The sequence below is a fragment of the Homo sapiens genome, chromosome 17 (genome assembly GCF_000001405.40).
Source record: "Homo sapiens chromosome 17, GRCh38.p14 Primary Assembly".
NCBI classification, from domain to species: Eukaryota; Metazoa; Chordata; class Mammalia; order Primates; family Hominidae; genus Homo; species Homo sapiens.
In genome coordinates, this window is record NC_000017.11 from 8,929,926 (window position 1) to 8,953,043 (window position 23,118).

Below are 23,118 nucleotides of genomic sequence, written 5' to 3' on the forward strand. Positions count from 1 at the left end.
GTAACCAAAAACCACCTGTACCCCAAAAGCGATCGAATTTAAAAACAGTAAAAAACAAGAAATAATCGGAGACTTCAGCATCCTTCTCTCAACCACTGATAGAACAACTGTAAAGAAAATCAGCAAGGATGCATAAGAATTCAACAACACTATCAGTCAACAGGATCTAATAAACATGTTAGAGCACTCCACCTAACAACAGCAGAATACACATTTTTTTCAAGTACTTACGGAACATAAACTAAGATAGATCATATCTTGGGCCTTAAAACAACCAAACTTTCAATTACTTAAAAATAACTGAAATCATACAGAGTGCATTCTATGACCACAATGGAATCAAACTAGCAATCAATAATAGAAAGATCACAGAAAAATCTCCAAATACTCAAAAACTAAACAAACTTCTAAATAATTCATGGGCCAAAGAGGAAGTCTCAAGAGAAATCCAAAAATTCACTGAAGGAATGAAAATGAATGTACAATGTATCAAAATTGGTGGGATACAGTTAAAGTAGTTCAGAGAGAGAAATTTATATCACAAAATAACATATATTAAAACTGCTGTATGGCCCAGCAATTGTGCTCCTGAGCGTTTATCTCAAAGAAAGGAAAACTTATGTTCATACGAAAACCTGTACATGAATGTTTATAACAGCTTTGTTCAAAATGGCCAAAAACTGAAAACAAACTAAATGTCTTTCAATTTAGAATATGGTTCGACAGACTATGGTCCATCTATACTATGGAATATTATTCAGCAATTGAAAGGAAATAACTATTGATACACACAACAACCTGGGTTAACTTCCGGAAAATTATGCTGAATAAAAACAAAGTCAATGCCAAAAGAATGCGTAACATATTATTTCATTGCACAATACTTTTGAAGTGACAAAATTATAGAAATGGAGAACATATTGGTGGTTGCTAGGGTTAGCATTAGGGCAGGTGCAGGAGGGAAGTGGGTGTGGCTAAAAAAGGGCAACATGAGGGATCCTCGTGGTGATAGCAATATTCTATATCTTGACTGTATCAAGGTCAATATCCTGGTTGTGATATTGTCGTATTTGTTTTGCAAGATGTTACCATTGGAGCAAACTGAGAAAAGGGTACAAAGGATCTCTCTTTATTATTTCATAGAATGACATATGAATCTACGATTTATCTCAAGATGTAAAAGTCTAATTAAAAAACAAAACTTAAAAGCCTTGTACAGATAAGTTTAAAATGTTAAAATATAAGCTTTAAAACTACCTAGAATAACCACTACCAATAGTCTGATCTTTATCCTTCTAAAAACTTTATTTTTTAAAATCCCACAGATCATACTCAAATAGATTTATCTCATAAAAGAGGTGATATTCGAGAGTCCACCCAAAAGAAGGGGTGCTTTCACCATCAGATGAGAAGGGATAATTGGCACTGGACTAAGCCTCCCTCCATGAACAATTATAAGACTACCCAAAACAGCTGAAGCAACTGTTTATAGACACTGGGCAACAGGCAAGCACAGGACTGTAATCCCTCAGGGAAGGGAAACACACAAGGGGAGCCTCTTGATTTCGCTGGGTTTCTGCTGGAAGGCACTTCCGTTGTTTGAAGCATAGAGGTAGAATGCAAGCAGAGTACAGGGGGCTTTCCGAGTTGAGGAGACAGAAATTGGAGTTTGGAACTCTACAAATGGCTGGACTGTGTGGGGCAAGGAACTGGAAAAGAGGGAAACGTGAAAAAGAAGAGCTCAAGAAGACATTAGCTGAATACTAAGCTGTGCAGGGTAAGACCTCATGAAGCCTGGCAGAAACAGCTACTGGAAAGCCTGGAGTTGAACAGAGGTTCTAGAAGTTGCACAGTGCTGGGAGACATTGGATTTCCAATCAGCCAGGGTGGAGGAACTTCACTGGATACCTCAGTCATTCATCTGAGATCCTAGGAAGGTAATTCTTGACATCTAGACATCCATTAAATTTTAAGAAACACTTGAAAGGATCCTGCTTATCCACCTATAAATTAACTGCCTGGCAGAATACAATTCTTTAAAGAAAAACAAGAAAATCCAGACGCTCAACAGTGTGGCATCCATAATGCCTAGAATACACTGAAAAAATTACTAGACAGATGAAGATGAAGAAAAATGCAATTCATTACTAGGGAAGTAATTCAATGAATAAAAACCAAAGAGAGTAGGTATGTTGAAATTAGGAGGCAAAGACTTTAAAACATCTATTATAAATATGTTCAGAGATTTCAAGGAAAAATGGACAGAGCAAGTTAACAGATGGAGAAATCTCAGAAGGGAATTGGAAACCTTTTTTTTTTTATTTTTGAGACAGAGTCTCATTCTGCTGCCCAGGCTGGAGTGCAGTGGCGTGATCTCGGCTCACTGCAACCTCTGCCTCCCAGGTTTAAGCAATTCTCCTGGCCTCAGCCTCCCAAGAAGCTGAGATTACAGGCATGCACTACCATGCCCAGCTGATTTTTGTATTTTTAATAGAGACAGGGTTTCACCATGTGGGTTAGGCTGGTCTCGAACTCCTGACCTCCGGTGATCTGCCCACCTCGGCCTCCCAAAGTGCTGGGATTACAGGTGTGAGCCACCGCACCCGGCCTGGAAGCTATTTTTAAAAGAACCAAATGGAAATCTATTACCAAAAGGAAACACAATCTCTGAAAAGAAAAGTTCATTGGATGGACTGAATAAAAGACTGGACACTGCAAGAATAAGATCAGTGAACTTAAACGATAGAAACCATTCAAACTAAAATATAGAAAATAAAAAAGGTTTTCAAAATATGAACAGAGCCTCAGTGACTTCTGAGCACAACCAAAAGTTCTAATAGATATGTAATTGATGTCTCAAAAAGAGAGAAGAAAGAAAATGGGTGCAGAAAAAAATATTTTAAGAAATAATGGCCAAAATGTTCCCAAATTTAATAAAAAATATGAACCCATAGATCTGGGAAGCTCTAAAAACCCAAGAAGGATACGTGCAAAGAAAACCAGACCTAGGTATATCATAGTTAATTGCTGAAAATCAAAGATAAAGAGAAAATCTCAAAAAGCAGCCAGAAGAAAAAGACACATTGTATGTAGAAAACAACGAGAAAAACTACTGACTTCTTAGAAACAACACAAACTAGGATAGAGTGATATACATCTTTATAGTGCTTAAAGAAAAACAAAACAAAAAAAGGACTTTCAACCTAAAATTCTATATCCAGTGGAAATATTCTTCAAAAACAAAAGTTAGGAAACTTAATGGTGTGATTGAAATGTTTTATATATTGTTAGGTCTGTGGATGACATGGATGTACACATTTGTCAAAATTGTACAGTTAAATTTTTTACATTTTAATGTTTGTAAATTTTTCATGAAAAGAACTATAAAAATAATCAAAGGGTTGGGAAGTGAAGAAAGTTATAGGTAAAACAATATTTTTAAATAATGAAGATAAAGACATTTGAAGACAAAAAGATGCTGAAAAGATGGTCACCAGCAGACATGTATTACTAAAAATGCTTTTTAAAAAGCTATTGTATCAAACCTTTAAGAAAGAAATAATATCAATCTTACTCAAATTCCTTCATAAAATAGAGGAAGAGGAAACACTTCCCAATTCATTGATGAAACCAGCATAATCCTGATGTCAAAACCAGACAAGAACACTACCAAACAAAGAATAGTACAGATCAATATCTCTCATTTTACATTTCAAGATGCAAAAATTCTTATCAAAACAATTAAAAATGAAGTCTAGAAATATATAAATATAATCATTTCCGAAATAAGTAAAAATATATAAAAAGACCAAATGGGACTTACCCACTTGGAATGCTGTACTTGGAAAGTTGTTGTACTGAAAGTCATTGTACTGAAAGTCAACTTTCAAAAATTAATGTAATTCACCACATTAATAAAGAAGAGTGAAAAAAAATCACATAACTACTTCATGAATGCATAAAAAGCCTTTGAAAAAACTCAACCCCCGTTTATAAGAACCCTCAGTAAGAGGGAACTGCTCAAACTTATAAAGAGCATCTATGAAAAATCTACAGTTAACATCATACTTAAAGGTGAAAACTGAACGCTTTTCACCTACTATTGGGAGCAAAGCAAGGATGTCTGTTCTTACCTACTCAACATTGTTCTGGAGGTCATAGCCATTGCCATGAGGCAAGGAAAAAACACGTATATATCAGGGAGGAAGAAGTAATGCTGTCTTTACTCTGAGATGACATGACTGTATACTTAGAAAATCCTAAGGAATCTATTAAAAACTACCATTAGCGAATTTATCAAGGTTACAGAATACAAAGTCAGTATTTAAAAGTCAATTGTACTTCTACATATTAATAACTACCAATTTGAAAGTGAAGTTTTTAGAAACACCATTCATAATAGCATCAAAAAGCCAAAATTCTTAGGGAATTTACCAAAGAATGTGGAAAACCCCCACCATTAAAACTACAAGACATTGCTAAGATAAATCAATGAATACGTGGAGAGATATGCCACATTTATGAGTCAGAAGACTCAATATTGATATTATGTCAGTTTTCCTCCAAGTTCATCTATGGATTCAATGCAATCCCAGTCAATATCTCAGCAAACTTTAAAAAATAGAAATGAATAACATGCCTTCGGTATATGGAAATACCAAAGACTTAAAATAGCTAATACAGTTTGGGAAAAGGACAAAGTTGGACGACTCATCCTATCTGACTTCAAGATTTGCTCTAGGGCTACAGTAATCAAGACAATCTGGTACTGACGATTTAAGCACACGTAGATCAACACAATAAGTCGTATCATGGGTTTTTAAACATAAATAGAACCATAGTATACATGTTGTTCTATGCACGGTTGTCCCTGAGAAAGCATATCTGATTACATCATTCTCTCCCAGCCCTCTGAAACCTTTCCTTTGGGTTTTCATTGCCTTGAGTCAAAACTCAAGCCCATAACATGGCTCACTGGACCCCAAGAGTTCTGTGCCCTTCTTCTCTAGTCAGTCTCAAACCTCTACCTTTCCTCTCCATAAAACTTCTTCCTGCATGTGCTGCCTCTGCCTGAAACATTTCCACCATGTTCCCCTGTTTCTGATGTGGATCTTAATATGCATTCTTCTGTCTTCCATTTCCAGGTCACTTCTTCAGGGGAGATCTTCTGACCTCCAGGCTTGGCTGGATGTCCACCCCCACCCTTTCAGCTCCCAGAGCATCTCTGCTTCCACTGTGCCTGCGTTATAACTGCCTATTTCTCTAGCGGGCTTTCAACTCTGACGTCAATGTCCCATCTAACATAATGGTTCTAACCCCAGTGCCTGGCACAGGGTCTGGGCAGATTCTCCCTGGAAAGTTACATGAGTGTGCAAACGAAAGCCCCGCCCAAATATAGGCCCATGATGTTATGACCATATGAGCAATAGGGGATATTCCTCTGGCTTCAAGGGGAAATCACGTCTATTGCAACGTCCCAGTGAGTCAGTCTTCAGAGGTGTTGAACGAGTCGTTTTTGGCCACCCACAGTGTGGGCAGGTTGCCTGGGAGACCTGCTTCCTTCCTTGTTTCCTCTGCCAGAGGCCAAAGGAAGAGATTCAGGTCAGAACCCAAGCTTCCCCGGAGCTGTTCCTAAGACCTCAGAGTACAAATACAGGATAATTTATATTTCTATTAATTTATTTCTTTCTGTACATTGTGCTCTCCCCTCACCCTATCCCCATGCTAAATAAGAAGGCAACCATCCTGAGGAAGGTTTGTGGCAGGAAAGTGAACAGCTCTGAGCTCCCGGACAGCTCCTGGCAGGATGGGGCTTGGCATCGGATTTCAGTCAACATAAGAAGACAAGGCCACGCATGGTGGCTCACGCTTGTAATCCCAGCACTTTGGGAGGCTGAGGCGGGCGGATCACGAGGTCAGGAGATCGAGACTATACTGGCTAACGCAGTGAAACCCGATCTCTACTAAAAATACAAAAAATTAGCCGGGCGTGGTGGCGGGCACCTGTAGTCCCAGCTACTCGGGAGGCTGAGGCAGGAGAATGGCGTGAACCCGGGAGGCGGAGATTGCAGTGAGCTGAGCTTGCGCCACTGCACTCCAGCCTGGGTGACAGACCGAGACTCCATCTCAAAAAAAAAAAAAAAAAGGAGACAATGTTTATTTCTATTTCTTTTATAGACTTTAATTCTTAAAGTAGTTTTAGGTTTATAGAAATATTAAAGTACAGAGAGTTCCTATATACTCCCTCTCCTTCCTCCTCCCACCCACAGTTTCCTCTATTATTAATATCTTCCATTAGTGCGGTTCATTCGTTAAAATTAATAAACCAATATTGATACAAGAGTAGTCACTGAAGTCCACAGTGTGCGTTAGGGTGCACTCTTTGTGTTGTACAATTCTATGAGTTTCTCCAAATATATAATATCAATACACATTACAGTATCACAGAATATTTTCACTGCCCAGAAAATCCCCTATACTCCATCTATTCATCCTACTCCCTCCAGCATCTGGTAGCCATTCTTCTTTTTTACTGCTTCCATAGATTGGCCTTTTCCAGGACATCACATAGTTGGGATTATACAGTATGTAGTTTTTTTCAGATTGGCTTCTTTCATTTAGCAATATGCATGCACTTAAGATTCTTTCATGTTTTTTCATGGCTTGATAGCTCTTTTCTTTTTCCCACTGAATAATATTCCATTGTATGGATGCACCTTTATAGTAAGTCTTACAAGTCTCTATAGCAGGTCTTAGTAAGTTAGTAATGTCAGTCTTCTGACTTTGTTCTTCTTCAATGTTGTGTTGTTTATTCTAGGTCTTTTTCTTTTCATATAAGTGTTAGAATGAGTTTGTCAATATTCACAAAGTAATTTATTGGAGTCTTGATAGAGATTGCATCGAGTCTAGAGATAAAACTAAAAGAACTGACAGCTTAACAATAGTGAGTCTTTCTATACATGAACATGGAATACCTCTCCATTTATTTAGATTTCTGTAGATTTTTTTATCCATTTTATTGTTTTCTCATATAAATCTTGTATATATTTTGTTAGATTCATATCTGATTATTTCATTTTTTGGTGCTAGTGTAAATGGTATTGTATTTTTAATTCAAATTCCAATTGTTCATTGCTGGTATATAGGCAAGCACTTGACTTTTGTGTATTTATCTTGCACTCTGAAACCTTACTATAATTGCTTAGTTCCAGGAATGTTGTTTTTTGTCATTGTTGATTCTTTGGGATTTTATACATAGACAATCATGTTATTTGGTGAACAGAAACTTCCTTCCCAATCTGTATACCTTTCATCTCCTTTTCTTATATTTTTGCTTTACGTAGGACTTCCAGTACGATGTTAAATATGAGTGGTAAGTGAAGACATCTTTGCCTTGGTCCCAGTCTTAGGGGGAAAACATCTAGTTTCTCACCATAATGTTAGCTGTACGTTTTCTGTATAAGTATTTATCAAGCTGAAGAAGTTCCTCTCTATTTCTAGTGTGATGAGAATTTTTATCATAAATGGGTATTGGACTTTATCAAATGTTTCTTCTGTATCTAGTTTTATGATTTTTCTTCTTCAGCCTGTTGATGTAATTAACTACGTTAGTTGACTTTCAAATATTGAATCAGCCTTGTATATCCAGAATAAATCCCTCTTAGCTGTGATCTATAATTCTTTTCGTGTATCGTTGGATTCAATTTGCTAATGTTTTATTGAGGATTTTTACACCTATATTAATGAAAGATATTGATCTGTAGTTTTCGTTTTTTGTAATATTTTTGTCCGGTTTTGGTATTAGGTAATGCTGGCCTCATAGAATGAGTTAGGAAGCACTCCCTCTTCTTCTATTTTCTGGAATGGACTGTAGAGAGTTGCCATCATTTTTTCTTTTGTGTGTGTGTGTGTTTCACTCTTGTTGCCCAGGCTGGAGTGCAATGGCACAATCTCGGCTCATTGCAACCTCCACCTCTTGGGTTCAAGTGATTCTCCTGCCTCAGCCTCCTGAGTAGCTGGGATTACAGGCACCTGCCACCACACCCAGCTAATTTTTTGTATTTTTAGTAAAGACGGGGTTTCACCATGTTGGCCAGGCTGGTCTTGAACGCCTGACCTCAGGTGATCTGCCTGCCTCAGTCTCCTAAAGTGCTGGGCTTCCACATGTGAGCCACCGCACCCGGCCATTTTTTCTTTAAATGTTTGGTAGAATTCACCAGTGAAACCATCTGGGCCTGAAACTTTTTTGTTTTGGAAGATTATTGATTCAATTTATTTAATAGATATAGGCCTATTCAGATAATCTACTTCTATTTGTATGAGTTTTAATAGAAATAAGAAATTATTCCATTTCATCTAAGTTAGCAAATTGGTGGGCATAGAGTTGTTCATAATATTCCTTTATTATCTTTTCAATGTCCATAGGTTTGGCAGTGATTTTTACTTTTTTTCTTGAGCTGTAATTCATGTAACGTAAACTCAACATTTTAAAGAATACCCTTCAGCGGCTTTTACTATACTCACTAAGTATGTAACCATCACAACTATCTGATCCCAGAATATTTTCATCGCTCCAAAAAGAAACCCTATACCTATTAGCAATCACTCTCCATTCTCCCTCCCCTTATCCTCTGGCAACCAGTCATCTACTTTTTGTCTTTATGGGTTTGCTTATTCTGGACAATTCATATAAATGAAGTCTTATGATATGTGGTCTTTTGCATCTGGTTTGTTTCACTTAGTGCATGTTTTCTAGGTTCATCCATGTCGTAGTATGTAACAGTACTTACTCCTTTTTATGACTGAGTAATATTTCACTGTGTGGACATACCAAGAATTTCTCAGATACACTTGAAGCATTTCAAGTATATATTTGTAATTTTATTTCTCAAATGCTTGAATTTATGGACCAAGATTCATATTGGATACATGGGAGCTACTTGCTCAGAGCAAAAGAAAAAGATGAGAGACAGTATCCAGGTATGACCCAAGTTTACCTTTCTACATGAGGGACAGTAAGAAATGAACGTAGCCTGGAGTTTCCTCTGTAAAAAGAGAATCCTGCTTGAGTCTTGTGGGCTTACATAAGCTGGTGCCACCGCCATCAGCTACTACCCACAGTGAGTTCCTACTACCTGTCAGCTGCTGGAAGAGGCAGGCACTTTCACATGGGACAATCCTTCCAGGTGGTCATTCTTCATCTCTGTTTTACACATAAGGAAACGATGGCTCTGAGAGATAAAGTCACTTTCTCAGGATCTGCAGCAAGTGAGAGCAATGATGCTAACTCAGGCCTGCCGAACACCAAAGCCCTCCCCAGCTGTCAGGTAACACCTCGAATTCTCTACCCAATTGCTCCAGCAGTAGGAATTCCTAAACTTTTTTGCACCATGGGACCATTCAGCAGTCTGACATCTACAGACCCCTCTTCAGAATAATGCTTTAAATGCATGAAATAAAATACACAGAATTGCAAAGGAAATGAGTTACACTGAAATACAATGGTCAAACTATTTTTAAATCATCAGATTTATGAAATGGGAGTATACGTTCTTCTCATTAACACATGAAATAATAAAAGCCCAGCAGTGAGTCTAATCACTGTGATCACCTAAACGTAGTAAAGAGCATGAATGACATTTGAGGTATCTGCAACCTCAAAGTGACACGAAAACATCTGGATTTCTGTTGGTGACAAAGTCACAGGTGCTACTGATATGACTGTGGTTTTTGCCTACGTTCAAATGCGAACTTCAGTTACAGGTGAGTGAAAATAACGATGCCACGTGTTCTCCATCCAAGTTCACGGATGCCTGGCTGAGAATCTCTGCTCCCCAGAAGCTGTGCAGCCAAGAGGAATGGGAACGTGGCCCCTCCCTCTCCCAGGGACTGTCATTGCCTTTTGATATTCATGTATTCTGGAGTCCTGGTGTGAGAAGGGGTCACCTTCCTGCCCCAATGTCCTTCCCTACTCCAGAATTCCTCAAATCTGCGTATTTCTGGAAAGCTCCAAATAGAGTGTTTCAGTTCTCATGGTGGTCCCCATCTCAGCTTAGTCTTACACATCTCTCTCAGGACAGTTTAATTCCTTTTAAAAACAACCCCCAGAGAGCTGCGGGGAGTTTCTAATCTCTCATATCAGGCTTCTTGTATGACTTCACAAGGGCAGCCCCTAAGCCTGCTTCCCCTGGGAGATGGGGGCCTGGCTGAAGGTGTGGTGTCAGAGCCTCCTGCATTGATGAAAACCCAGGAGCAGAGCCCAGCAGGGAAGAGCCCCCAACCTGGGGCAAGCAGCTGGGCACGTGGGAGGCCCTGCCCTTCTCACCTCACTGGGGCCTGTTTAGGGAATGGAGAACCTCTCTGGACCTGTTTACTTGACCATAAAATGGGAGAGGAGTCTCTCCACCGTGGTACATTATGAAGTTCAGAGCTGCTGCAAGAAGGCTTAAGAACAATCCCAAAGCAACCACCGGCCATCCTCAAGAGCTCATCCCTGACAAGATGGGACCCAGGAAAACTCACGAAGGGACGCCAGCAAACAGCAGCCTTGTAACACTTTCCTGAAGATCCCATACACAAAACGACCACAGTTCCCAGCCTCCTGCCTGCTAAGGTTTTTTTGTTTGTTTGTTTTTTGTTTTTGTTTTTGTTTTTAGAGACAAAGTTTTGCTCTTGTTGCCCAGGCTGGAGTGCACTGGTGCAATCTCGGCTCTGCAACCTCCGCCTCCCAGGTTCAAGTGATTCTCCTGCCTCAGCCTTCCGAGTAGCTGGGATTACAGGCATGAGCCATCATGCCTGGCTAATTTTTGTATTTTTAGTAGAGACAGGGTTTCACCACGTTGGCCAGGCTGGTCTCAAACTCCTAACCTCAGGTGATCTGCCTGCCTCGTCCTCCCAAAGTGTTGGGATTACAGGTGCGAGCCACTGTGCCTGGCCCCTGCTGTGTTTTTGAGAGAGAGGCAGGGAGGAGCTGAGTTGGGACACAGCCAGAGTGTGGACCCAGACCTCCTCACCCCTTCCTCTTCTTTATTCAAGGCATCCCCGCTCCTCTCTCAGCCTCAGTGTTCCAGTGGGTAAAGAAATGAGGGCCCCTCCAGCTCCACTGTGACCCAGCAGGGAAGAACAACTTCTGATCACAGCCACAGCATCCCTGTGTGTCAGCAGCAGGACAATGGGAGCCACTCCAGCTGTCCCAGTTGCAGCAGGTCCTACTGTGCAGAGACCACTTTGCTTCCTGTCTAACCACCATGACTGAGGGGTGTAGCGGGATAGATATGGGGTTGGTGGGGAGGCAGAGAGTAGGGAGGCAGGTGCAGGGAGGCCAGGCTCCACAGAGGCACGTGGCCAAGGTGACTCACCAGCACATTTCCATGGTTCTCTGGATCTGGCCCCCTCCCCACGCAGTGATTCGGGTTGGGGGAAGAAGGCAGCAGAAGACAAGAAGGAGAAAGAAAAAAAGGGGATGTGCAGAGAGGGAAGAGTGACCAGAGACGGCTTGAAGGACTAAGTTGAACAGAATAATACCCTTAAAACACCCTGATTCTGAGACAGATGAAAGGAGTTCAAAAACAAAAACAAAAAAGTCAAAATGTACACCAGCAGCCCCAATGTTTCCTGTTTTTCTAACAAATCACCAATGATTTCCAAGAAAAGCAAGCTGTGCTGCGCTTGCCCCCAGGCACAGCCGCAGAATTTGCACATCTGGCCTGTGCTTCGAGAGCGGCCCACGCGGCACCGTGGCACAGGATGTGGCGGGGCAGGCGGCAGGGTCTGCAGGGCAATGATCCCGAGAGGAGTGTGGCCAGGAACCCTCTAGGGAACACCTGCCGTGGTTGTCCCTGCTGCTTGCGGCCTGTGGATATCAACCTGTCACCACCTGTCAGCCAGTTCATCCTACGGCCTCCCTCAATCCTGCCTGCTGCATTAATGCAGGCATCGAGATGCAGGCAGTAGGACAGGGGAAAACAGAAAGATCCCCCTATTTACTCAGAAGACCCTTCGGGAGGATTTACATGTATGGACTTTCCCATGACCATCTGAATTCTCTGAGAATTTCCCGTTAGATGGGCGTGGGGGCTTCAGGGAGGCTCAGGGGGCCGGGTTTCCTTGGAGACAGGGAGCTGACAGCTCAGGTAGAGGCGAGGTCACCCTGCCAGCTCCTCACAACGGGGCCCTCATCTCCCATCCCATCTCCAGCTTCTCTCCCTTCCATTGCAGAGGGTCTCACAGGGTCCTGGGGTCTTTCAAAAGCCCCTAGAGGGAAGGGCAGACCCTCGAGCTGGGGCTGAAATCAGTCTAGTGACCCCAGGACCTGTGCCCCTTCCTATCTTGGCCACCTCCCAGGAAACCACACCTGACCTCTGCCGGCCTGACCCCATCCAGAAATACACAGCTGCCCCTGGAGAGCCCCTCCCTGCCCCCACCCTGCAGCCTCTTCTCTGTTCCACCCATAGTCGGAGCCTCCTTGCAGCTCCTGCCCCCACTGCTGCCTCACCCATTCCTGCCACCTCACCCATGCCACAACCCCCCATCTGCAGGAGCTCTGCTCAGCCCCACCAACACCCTGACAGGGGCAGGTTCAAAAGACAGTCTGCAGGAGGGGGTGAGGTGTCTTGGGTGGGAGGAAGGAAGACAGAGGGAAGCTATGCAGCCTTCATCTCCTGTCAGCCTTATTCTTTTTCTTTCTTTCTTTCTTTTTTGAGACAGAGTCTCGCTCTGTCGCCCAGGCTGGAGTGCAGTGGTGCGATCTCTGCTCACTGCAAGCTCCGCCTCCCGGGTTCACGCCATTCTCCTGCCTCAGCCTCCTGAGTAGCTGGGACTACAGGCGTCCGCCACCACGCCCGGCTAATTTTTTGTATTTTTTAGTAGAGAAGGGGTTTCACCGTGTTAGCCAGGATGGTCTCGATCTCCTGACCTCATGATCCGCCCGCCTCGGCCTCCCAAAGTGCTGGGATTACAGGTGTGAACCACTGCACCCGGCCCTGTCAGCCTTATTCTTATTTGGCTGCTGCGCCAGCTGGACAAAGCAGATCACGTCATACACACACACACACACACACACACACTTTGCTAAAACATTTGAAAGTGAGTTGCAGGCTGTGGACATCATAGCACATCACTCCTAAACATCAGCTTGAACCTTTTTCTTTTTCTTTTTTTTTTCGTCAGGAGACAGGGTCTCGCTCTGTTGCACAGGCTGGAGTGCAGTGACACAATCACATCTCACTGCAACCTTGAACTCCCAGGCTCAAATAATCCTCCCACCTCAGCCTCCTGAGTAGCTGGGGCTACAGGTGTGCACTACAAAGCCTGGCTAATTTTTAATTTTGTTTGTTTGTTTGTTTTTGTAGAGATGGAGTCTCAATACGTTGTCCAGGCTGGTCTCAAACTCCTGGCCTCAAGCAATCCTCCTGCCTTGCCTTGGCCTCCCAAAGTGCTGAGATTATAGGTGTGAGCCACCATGCCTGGCCTTGATTGAATCATATTAAACATGAGAAGATATTAGCAATTTCGTGGGGTTCAATCTAATACTTGAGCACACATCTCTCAAGAAAAGAGACATTCTTGGCTGGGCGCGGTGGCTCATGCCTGTAATCCCAGCACTTTGGGAGGCCGAGGCGGATGCATCATCAGGTCAGGAGTTCGAGACCAGCCTGGCCAATATGGGTGAAACCCCGTCTCTACTAAAAAGTACAAAAATTAGCTGGGTGTGGTGGCGCGCACCTGCAGTCCCAGCTGTTCAGGAGGCTGAGGCAGGAGAATCGCTGGAACCCAGGAGGCAGAGGTTGCAGTGAGCCGAGATTGTGCCACTGCACTCCAGCCTGAGTGACAGAGCAAGACTCCATCTAAAAAAAGAAAAAATAAATAAAAGAAACATTCTCCAACCTTCCAACCTGACCACACCTGGCAAATTGACAATAATTCTGAAACATTGTCTGCTGTACCCTAGGGAATATACTCCTTTTTTTTTTTAACTTTTATTTTAGGTGCGGGGGTACATGTGCAGTTTTGTTATGGTAAACTCGTGTCACGGGGGTTTATTGGACAGATTACTTCGTCACCCAGGTACTAAGCTTAGTACCCAATAGTTATTTTTTTCTGATCTTCTCCCTCTTCCCACCCTCTGCTCTCAAGTAAGCCCCAGTGTCTGTTGGTCCTTTCTTTGTGTCCATGAGTTCTCATCATTTAGTTCCCACTTATAAGTGAGAGCATGTATTTTGTCTTCTGTTCCTGCATTAGTTTGCTAAGAATAACAGACATCCTGTTATTCTATTATGTTATCTATTATGCTGAGAATAATAGCTCCATCCACATTTCTGCAAAAGACATGATCTTGTTCTTTTTCATGGCTACATAATATTCCATGGTGTATATGTACCACATTTCCTTTATCCAGTCTACTGTTGATGGGCATTTAGGTTGATTCCATGTCTTTGCTGTGTGAATAGTGCTGCAATGAACATATGCATGCATGTGTCTTCATGCAGAATGATGCATTGTGGTGATTTCTCAAACAGGGAACATACTTGCTGAGCATCTGTTGTGTGCCCATCATCAGAAGCACATCCTCTGTAAAGGGAGCAAGATGAATTAATTTATGAATAAAGCTCCTTCAGGCACTAGCATTCCATGATTTTATTCTGGAATGATGAGGTTGTGTTTTTCCTTCCCTGGGGAATGAAGAGTGGGAACATACCCTCTGGTGAAATGGGAACATGGGACCACTCCTATATCCATCTTTACTCTCCAGACCTGTCTTCAGGCTTCAAAGGCACCTGGCTAGGGCAGGAACACGGGTGATCCTAACGGAAGTACCAGGACACGGAGCTGGAGAGTTCCTCAGCCTTCTCAAGTGCAATTCTTGGGACCCTCCTATATCTAGCCATCCTGGAACTTTGTGATAGTGGCACACAGGTAACTATATCCAGGGACCTACACCTAGGCACTGAGACATGTGACTGGGGAAAAATGGCCTACACTTACGCCCTAATGTGTTAGTTCCGCAATTTCCTGCTGAGGTTAGCAGATGAACGTCCAGCAAGTCCACAGCAAATGAATACACTTGAGAAAGTCAGGGTGTGGAAGAGGTTCTTCCTCTCCAGGAAGATGCTGGTGCTTGGGGGTCCAGGAAGCCCTGCTGTGGAGCAGCCCAGAGACCTGGCAAAGCTTTCTCATTGTTTCAGCTGTGGCAGGCTTCTAGCCAAACCCTGGCTCGGCCCCTCACCCCACTTCGAAGAGGGGATCTACATCCTCCCCAGCTGCAGGAACACTCACTCCCTGGCAGGCCCTGGCTTCCTATACACTCAAGAGGCACAGCTAAGGCCTAGGAGTTGTGCCAGGAAACCAGCCACTGGGGTGGGTCATTTGATTGACACTAGCTCCAAGAGATTCTTCCCTTACAATCAGTAGGTCTGCCTCCCACCCCAGCCACACACACACACACTCACACCCTTCAGGGAATGAGAAACTGGTCCCAGGGCTGTATTCCCTCCACCTGGCAGCCCCTTGGCTACTCCTTCATAAGCGAGGCTTCACTGGTGACCCAGAGAGAGCCTGGGACAGGACTGCTAGCAGCAGTGGGAAGAGGAAGGCTGGGCATCACAGCAACCACCTTGCACTGGGAGTTTCTGCTAGACAGGAGGCAAAGCAGACATCTCAAATCCACCGTAGTCCAGAAACAACACAAAATGAGAACTCCTCCCCAGAAAAATAGAAAGTACTTATAAGATTTTATGTCCCAAAGATGATCCCAACAATAGCTCCCATCCCACCTCTCCTTTACATTACAGCCTTGCCACTTCTCCATCAAGAGGTGGAATCTATTCCCATCCCCTTAAACTTGGGTGGGCTTGTGACTGCCACAATCAAAACAGATTATAGCGGAAGTGATGCTGTGTGGCTTCCAAGGCTAGGTCACTAAAGACCATGCAGCTACTGTCTTGTTTGCCAGAAGGTTTGAACTTGGAGCTCTGAGCCATCAAGTGAGAAATTAGATTATCCATCTGGACGTTGCCATGATGTAAGGAAGCCCAAACCACATGGAGAGGCCCCTTGTAGGCATTCTCATTTACAGTTTCAGTTACCAGCCGTTTGATCTTCCCAGCTGAGACCCCAGACATCACTGAACACAGGCAAGTCATCCCTATTGTGCCCAGCCCAAATTCCTGGCCCACAGAATCCACGGGCATAATAAAACCGTTGCAATCTTACACTGCTGCATTTTGGGATAGGTAGGTAGTTACACAGCAATGTATCTGGAACATACACATCTGGTGTGACTGCCAGCCCCTTACCGAGACCAGGTCCATCTGGTGTGAGTGCCAGCCGCTTACCGAGATCAGGTCACATGCCCAGAAGCCACTAGACCACGTGTTCAGAAAAGTCCAGATGGAAAAGCTAGAAAGAAAACTACTAGAAAGAAAATTACTGTGACACCATCCACCAGGCACCTAAGAAAACTACTAGGAGATGGTGCCATCCACCAGGCACCTATGAAAACTACTAGGAGATGGCGCCGTCTGCCAGGCACCTAAGAAAACTACTATGAGACAGCACCATCCATAAGGCATCCAAGATAATCACAGCAATTCAGAGGCAGAAGGGCCCTCAGAGGCTGTCCAACCTAAGTGTGTTTACTCAAATAAAAATTCTTACCAAGTGAATATGAGCACAAGATGCTTTGCTGCGTGTTGTGGTAGCTGCAAAGATGACTAATACACTGCACTTCATTTCAAATGCTGAGCTGCTCACATGCCAGCATGTGCCCCGCCATGTTCTGAGGACTCGAATGACCACAGCAGCACAGCAGCCCACTCCTGCCTCTCCTGCCTCAGGACCTTCGCGCCTGCCGTTCTCTCTGCCTGAGTGCTCTTCTTCTAGGTGTCTGCCTGGCTCACTCCTTCACTTGTTTCCCTTCTTCTGTTCTCAAGGAGGACTCCTGACAAGCCCCATCTCGGCTGCCTCCTGCCTTACTTTTTCCCACATCTCCCTCACCCATGGACATACGATACATTTTGCTTTTGTACTGTTCTCATTATATTTCTGTAACTCCCAGCCCCATTAGAATGTGAGCTCCATGAGGGTCCAGCTGAGTGCCTGGCACATAATTTGCTGAATGAATGAATTGAAAGATGAAGAGGTTTGAAGGAAGATGAGAGAGAAGCGCATGGGATGGGATCACACACCCCGCCTGACTGAGATACAGATGCGGCTTTTCTCGTGTGCATCAAAAAATGAACCTAGAGCCAAGGTTTAGGACTGGCAGAATCTTTGCCTGGATAGCAGCTTGGTAGCTGATTAGGTTGGAGCCGGGCTCTTAAATGAATCCCTGCTCCTCGGTCATCTCATCTGTTGGAAGGTCAAGTTAGTGATGAGGAAGATTACTGTCCTATCTTCTGCCTTTAATTCTCACCAAGAACAATGAAAGCTTTGTGAAATAGCAGTGAGAGGAAAATGGGGAGAAAAGGACCCATGACTGGGGTTTGTAGTAATCACGGAAGAAAATGCTAGACATAGTCAGACGCGAGTCATAGACTTTATGAAAGCAGCTATCCAAGGGGCTGGGAATTGTTTCCGTGCGTATCTAGTCTATTAAAACAACAACAACAACAAGAGGCTGGAAGTCAGAGAGGGTGGCTTAACAGGGAAAGAAAATGGAAAATTAAGCTCTGAAGGCAAGTCAGAGAGTGTCACAAGGGAGAAAAGAGGCGGAAATGTGAAGGAGCCAGTGTGACTTCCTGGGGCATACGTCAAGATGGAATCAAGGTCCCCAAGTTAAGGTGATACGAAAGAGAGAGAATGAGCGTATCATGAAAGCAAGCCTTAAGAAAAATACAGCAGCTGGGTGCGGTGGCTCATGCCTGTAATCCCAGCACTTTGGGAGGCCGAGGCCGGTGGATCACAAGGTCAGGAGATCCAGACCATCCTGGCTAACACGGTGAAATCCCATCTCTACTAAAAACACAAAAAATTAGCCAGGTGTGGTGGCGGGCGCCTGTAGTCCCAGCTACTTGGGAGGCTGAAGCAAGAGAATGGTGTGAACCCGGGAGGCGGAGCTTGCAGTGAGCAAAGATTGAGCCACTGCACTCCAGCCTGGGCGACAGAGCGAGACTCCGTCTTAAAAAAAAAAAAAAAAAAAAAAAAGAAAAGAAAAGAAAAGAAAAAGAAAAATGCAGCATACATCAAAAAGGACCCGTAAAGCTATTTTCAGAGTCCAAACCAGAAGAAATCAGGCCAGTAACTCAAGACAGTGGCCGACGCATGAGAGAAAGCCGAAATGCGCTCCTATGTTGCCTCCATCTTTTCCTCCACTTATAAGTAGGAGCTAAAGCTTTACCATGATAAGCTTTACCATTGTAAGGAGAATGGTTAACCCACTGGAAAGCATGAATCACAGATGTTTTATTTAGTCAGCAGAAAATATGTATTGAGGGTCTACTATTTGAGGGACTTCACTAGGCACTGGGGGTCCAGAAATCTCACAGAGCTCGTGGCCAGGAGGAGGATTGAGAGGTCACTACACAATGTGAAGGAGCAACAGAAAAATATGAAAAAGACAACCCAGTAGAAAACTGGACAAAAGGCTTGAATAGACGCTTCACAGAAGAGGGTGTCCAAATGGCCACTAAACATGTGGAGAGGTGCTCCGCTTCATTAGTCAGAAGGGAAGTGCACATTCCCACCACAAGGCAATACCACTACACACCCAGCAGAAGGGCCAAAATGAAAAAGGCAAAAAAAAGCACTGTTGTGAGGATGTGAAGCCACGCAAACCCTCACGGCTGCTGCGGGGAATGTACGCTGGTACGACAACATACCCAGTGGAAGATGCTCTATCAGACCCTAAAGCTCAACTTCAGCATGCTCCAGGCCCCAGGTATATGCCTCCTAGCTACATGCCCAGTGGACATGCAACAGGAAGTTCAGAGAAGCACCATCCAAAATAACTCTCAAACTAGAAACTACCCAGTGGGTTAGGTGTCCCAGTGGAGGCTAATATGGGACAGGTGCCATAGGAACTTGGAGGAGGGAGAATGTCTATTAGCAAAGCTTCTCCAAAAAGGTGACTCCCGAGATAACATTTCAGGAAGGAGGAGCTGCCCTGGGTGAGATTCAGGCATGAATCTCATGGTAGGAAAATAAACTGAGGCAAGAGGCGGGAGACAGCATGGTTCCTTTAGGGAAATGCTGGCAGTTCAGCCCTACTGAAGGGTAGGCATGACATGGGGCACGCTGGGAGATGATGCTGCATGGGCTGGCATGGTAGACTGTGAACAGCCTTATCTGCCAAGCTAAGTGCTTAAGGGTTTACTCAAGCGCCATGTGGAGCCACTGCTAAATTTCGAGCTGGTGAATGACACATCAGCTTTTGGATTTGGAAGGTTGTACCAGCCACAGGGTGAAAGGTAGATTGCGGGGAAAGGGTCCGATATTGAAACATCTGATGCCAAATAGGGAGGCTTGCTGCTGAAAATGAGTTTAGGATTGCAGAAGAGAATAAAGGCATCTCAGAGTCATAAAGAAACTTGAGGTTGTGAAAGGGAGCTGCTACCGATTATCTTTGAAGAATCAGAGAAAATGAAAGATGTATAAGAGACAGAGACAGAGAAAGACAGAGACAGATTAGAAAATGTTGTCGTCATCGTGAGGAACAGAAAAAGAAAGGGAGAATTCTGTAATGGCATTTGCAGCAACCTGAATAGGATTGGACACTATTATTCTAAGTGAAGTAACTCAGGAATGGAAAACCGAACATCATATGTTCTGACTCATAAGTGGGAGCTAAGCTATACGGATGCAAAGGCATAAGAATGATACAATGGATTTTGGGGACTTAGCAGGGGAAAGGTGGGAAGTGGGTGAGGGATAAAAGGCTACACATTAGGTACAACGTACACTGCACCAAAATCTCACAAGTCACCTCTAAAGAACTTACTCACGTAACCAAATACTACCTGTTCCCCAAAAATCTATGAAAATAAAAATTTAAAAACAATTTTTTTAAGTGGAATTTTTTAAAGTACATGTCTGAGTCCACCAGTCCCCTGGCAACATTCTCTATACATTATTAAAAGACAGTTTGTGAATGCTAAGGGAAAGATCCAGGAACCACCAGCAGCCAATAGGGATCAATGGATTCACTGACTAAAGAGGTAATAGAAGAACAGCCACAATAGCAGCATATCTGAATTTGAGCAAGTCTTGCTATATAGTTTCATGATGATGTAAAAAATACGAATGATAACACAGATAGATGGATTCATTACTGGCTTCATAACCTCACCCAAAGGGTGTTGAGTAGCTTCATCTGTAGGGACATTGCTCCTAAAATGCCAGAGAACCCTGCCTTTGGTCCTTTATAGCATGATTGTGGTAAAATATATGCAATATAAAATTTACGATTGTAAGTATTTTTTTAATTCCAACTTTTATGTTAGATACAGGTGCAGGTTTGTTATATGGGTATATTGCATCCAGGTAGTGAGCACAGTACTCAATAGGAGGTTTTTCAATCCTCACCCTTCCCTCTCTCCCCACTGAGAGTCCACAATGTCTATTGCTCCCATGTTTATGTCTACTTGTGCTCAGTGTTTAGCTCCTACTTGTAAGAGAGAACATATGGTATTTGGTTTTCCATTCCTACATTAATTTGCTTAGGATTATGGCCTCCAGCTCCATCCATGTTGCTGCAAAGGACATGACTTCATTCTTTTTTACGGCTGCATAGTATTTCATGGTTTATATGTAGAACATTTTCTTTATCCAATCTACCATCAATGGGCACCTAGGTTGATTCCATGTCTTTGCTATTGTGAATAGTGGGGTGATGAACACATGTGAGTACATGTGTCTTGTTGGTATAATGAGCTATTTTCCTTTGGGAATATACCCAGTAATGAGATCACTGGGTCAAATGGTGGCTCTGTTTTAAGTTCTTTGAGAAATCTCCAAACTGCTTTCTATAGTGGTTGAACTAATTTACGCTCCCACCAACAATGTGTAAGTGTTCCCTTCTCTCCACAGCCTCGCCAGCATCTGTTGTTTTTTGGCTTTTCAATAGTGGCCATTCTGACTGGTGCGAGATGGTATCTTGTTAAGGTTTTGATTTGCATTTCCCTCATAATCAGTGATAATGAGCATTATCTTTGATATGTGTGTTGACCATTTGTACGTCTTCTTTTGAGAAGTGTCTGTTCATGTCCTTTGCCTGTTTTTAAATGGGGTTATTTGGTTTTGGCTTGTTGATTTGTTTAAGTTCCTTATAGACTCTGGATATTAGACCTTTGACAGATGCATAGTCTGCAAATATTTTCTCCCATTCTGTAGGTTGTGTGTGTACAGTTTTGTGCGTACAGTTCTAAGTATACAGTTCAGTGACATTAAGTACATTCACAATGTTGTGCAACCATCCCCACCATCCATTCACAGAACTTTTTCGTCTTCCTAAACTGAAACTCCATACCCAATAAACACTAACTCCCCGCCACTTCTCCCCCCAGCCTCTGGTAACCTCTAATCTACTTTCTGTTTCTATGAGTTTACTCTAGCTACCTCATTTGGGTGGAATCACACAGTATTTATCCTTTTGTGTCTGGCTTACTTCACTTAGCATAATGTCTTCAAGGTTCATGCATATCGTAGCATGTGTTTGAACCTCATTCCTTTTTAAGGATCAATAATATTCAATTGAATGTATATACACATTTTGTTTATCCATTTATCCATTAATGGACATTTGGGTTAGTTTGACCTTTTGGTGTAGCATGCTGTTTTTTATTAATAGTTTTCAGCAGGGCTTAGGAGGCAAGCTTACTCCACAACAGAAGGGATAAAGAACATCTATGTAACAGTGAAGATTCACAAAGTTCAAATGTGGATGAGACTCAAAATTGTTCTTCCATATCTATTCTCCTTCCTTCTATGGGGATATAACTTTTAGGAATTTTAGATCACGTTTCCCAGACTCTTGTAACTAAGTATGACCATATGACTACATTCTGGCTACTGGAATATGAATAGACATTGATAAGTGCAATTTCCAAGTCATGCTTTTAGAAGGAAGAGGCATGCACTTCCCTTCCCCCTTTCCCCTTCTTGCTAGCTGGAATGCAGATGCGATGGCAATTGCTAGAGCAGCCATTATGGACCATGAGATGAGAGCTACATGTTGAAGAAGGCAGAGCAATGACACAAAAGGAACCTTGGTTCCCAACCTATAAAGCTGTCATGTGAAGTCTGGATCACTTATGCCCAGCTTGCTACCTGAGACAGAAATAAACCTCTATCTTGTTTAAGCCACTATTATTTTGGGTCTCTCCAATCCAACAGAGAAACCAGTAGACCAACTAATATTTCAGTGAATGCTGAGTTACCTAATAAGAGAAATGATGTTTTTGTTTTTCTGTTACTATGCCATTTAGTTACAGCTGGTGGATTTCCCCTGAATTTGTAGAATATGGTTTATGGTCTGACTTAAAGACCACACGGTATACCCAAAATTTCCTTGATAGAGACACCTCATAAAAGGTGAAGTCATCCTACAGACATGACTTCTGGAGCACAGGTTTTCTACATGGAGTCCCCACCTCTGTGTGTCCTACTCTAGGGAGAGCAGCAGGGATTGAGCTATTTAAAGGCCAGACACTCATTGGAGCAAACTGGGCTGGCCAGTTAGTATTGAAGCGACTTAAGTCGAGAGAGTAATATTTTTATAAATGAATTAGGGGTAATCTCTTACTGGTCAATAAAGTACCATGAGAATAAATTATGGGCATTATTACAAAATTTTTTCTCCTTAAACAAGGTCAGATATTTTAGTGAAAAATAACATTTTCACCTCCATCTACTGAGCAGATCTTCGGAGTAACACAGCCAACGAGAAGTAAGCCTGCAGCTTTGAAAATGCAGGAAAGGTAGGGGGAGGAGGGGAGATGGGACCCTCTGAGGCCACTGAGCTCTGGACCCAAGTTGCAACTGTGGCCGTTATCATATGATTACCATGGCTGCAACCCAATCCCTTCAACAGCCCCTGGACAGGAGCCTTGATGGGAACCTGGCAGAGTTGAGCCATGGTCCAAGAAGGAGCATTCTTGACCAGCTACATCTATCTCAGAGGAGAGT

The 23,118-nt window shown here is 43.1% G+C and overlaps 1 protein-coding gene across 12 annotated transcripts in view, besides 3 other annotated features; it reads right to left on the minus strand.

Moving 5' to 3' along the window:
- PIK3R5 (phosphoinositide-3-kinase regulatory subunit 5) overlaps window positions 1-23,118 on the minus strand; it is an 86,792-nt gene that overhangs the window by 51,010 nt on the left and 12,664 nt on the right. The gene's annotated exons all lie outside the window — the stretch shown is intronic.
- Window positions 9,609-9,718: a silencer, noted in NCBI's record as "silent region_8190". NCBI's record gives its function as "represses an Ori minimal core promoter by ATAC-STARR-seq in GM12878 lymphoblastoid cells {active_cell/tissue: GM12878}" and the evidence as "EXISTENCE:reporter gene assay evidence [ECO:0000049][PMID:35858748]".
- Window positions 10,339-10,408: an enhancer, noted in NCBI's record as "active region_11717". NCBI's record gives its function as "activates an Ori minimal core promoter by ATAC-STARR-seq in GM12878 lymphoblastoid cells {active_cell/tissue: GM12878}" and the evidence as "EXISTENCE:reporter gene assay evidence [ECO:0000049][PMID:35858748]".
- Window positions 12,156-12,235: an enhancer, noted in NCBI's record as "active region_11718". NCBI's record gives its function as "activates an Ori minimal core promoter by ATAC-STARR-seq in GM12878 lymphoblastoid cells {active_cell/tissue: GM12878}" and the evidence as "EXISTENCE:reporter gene assay evidence [ECO:0000049][PMID:35858748]".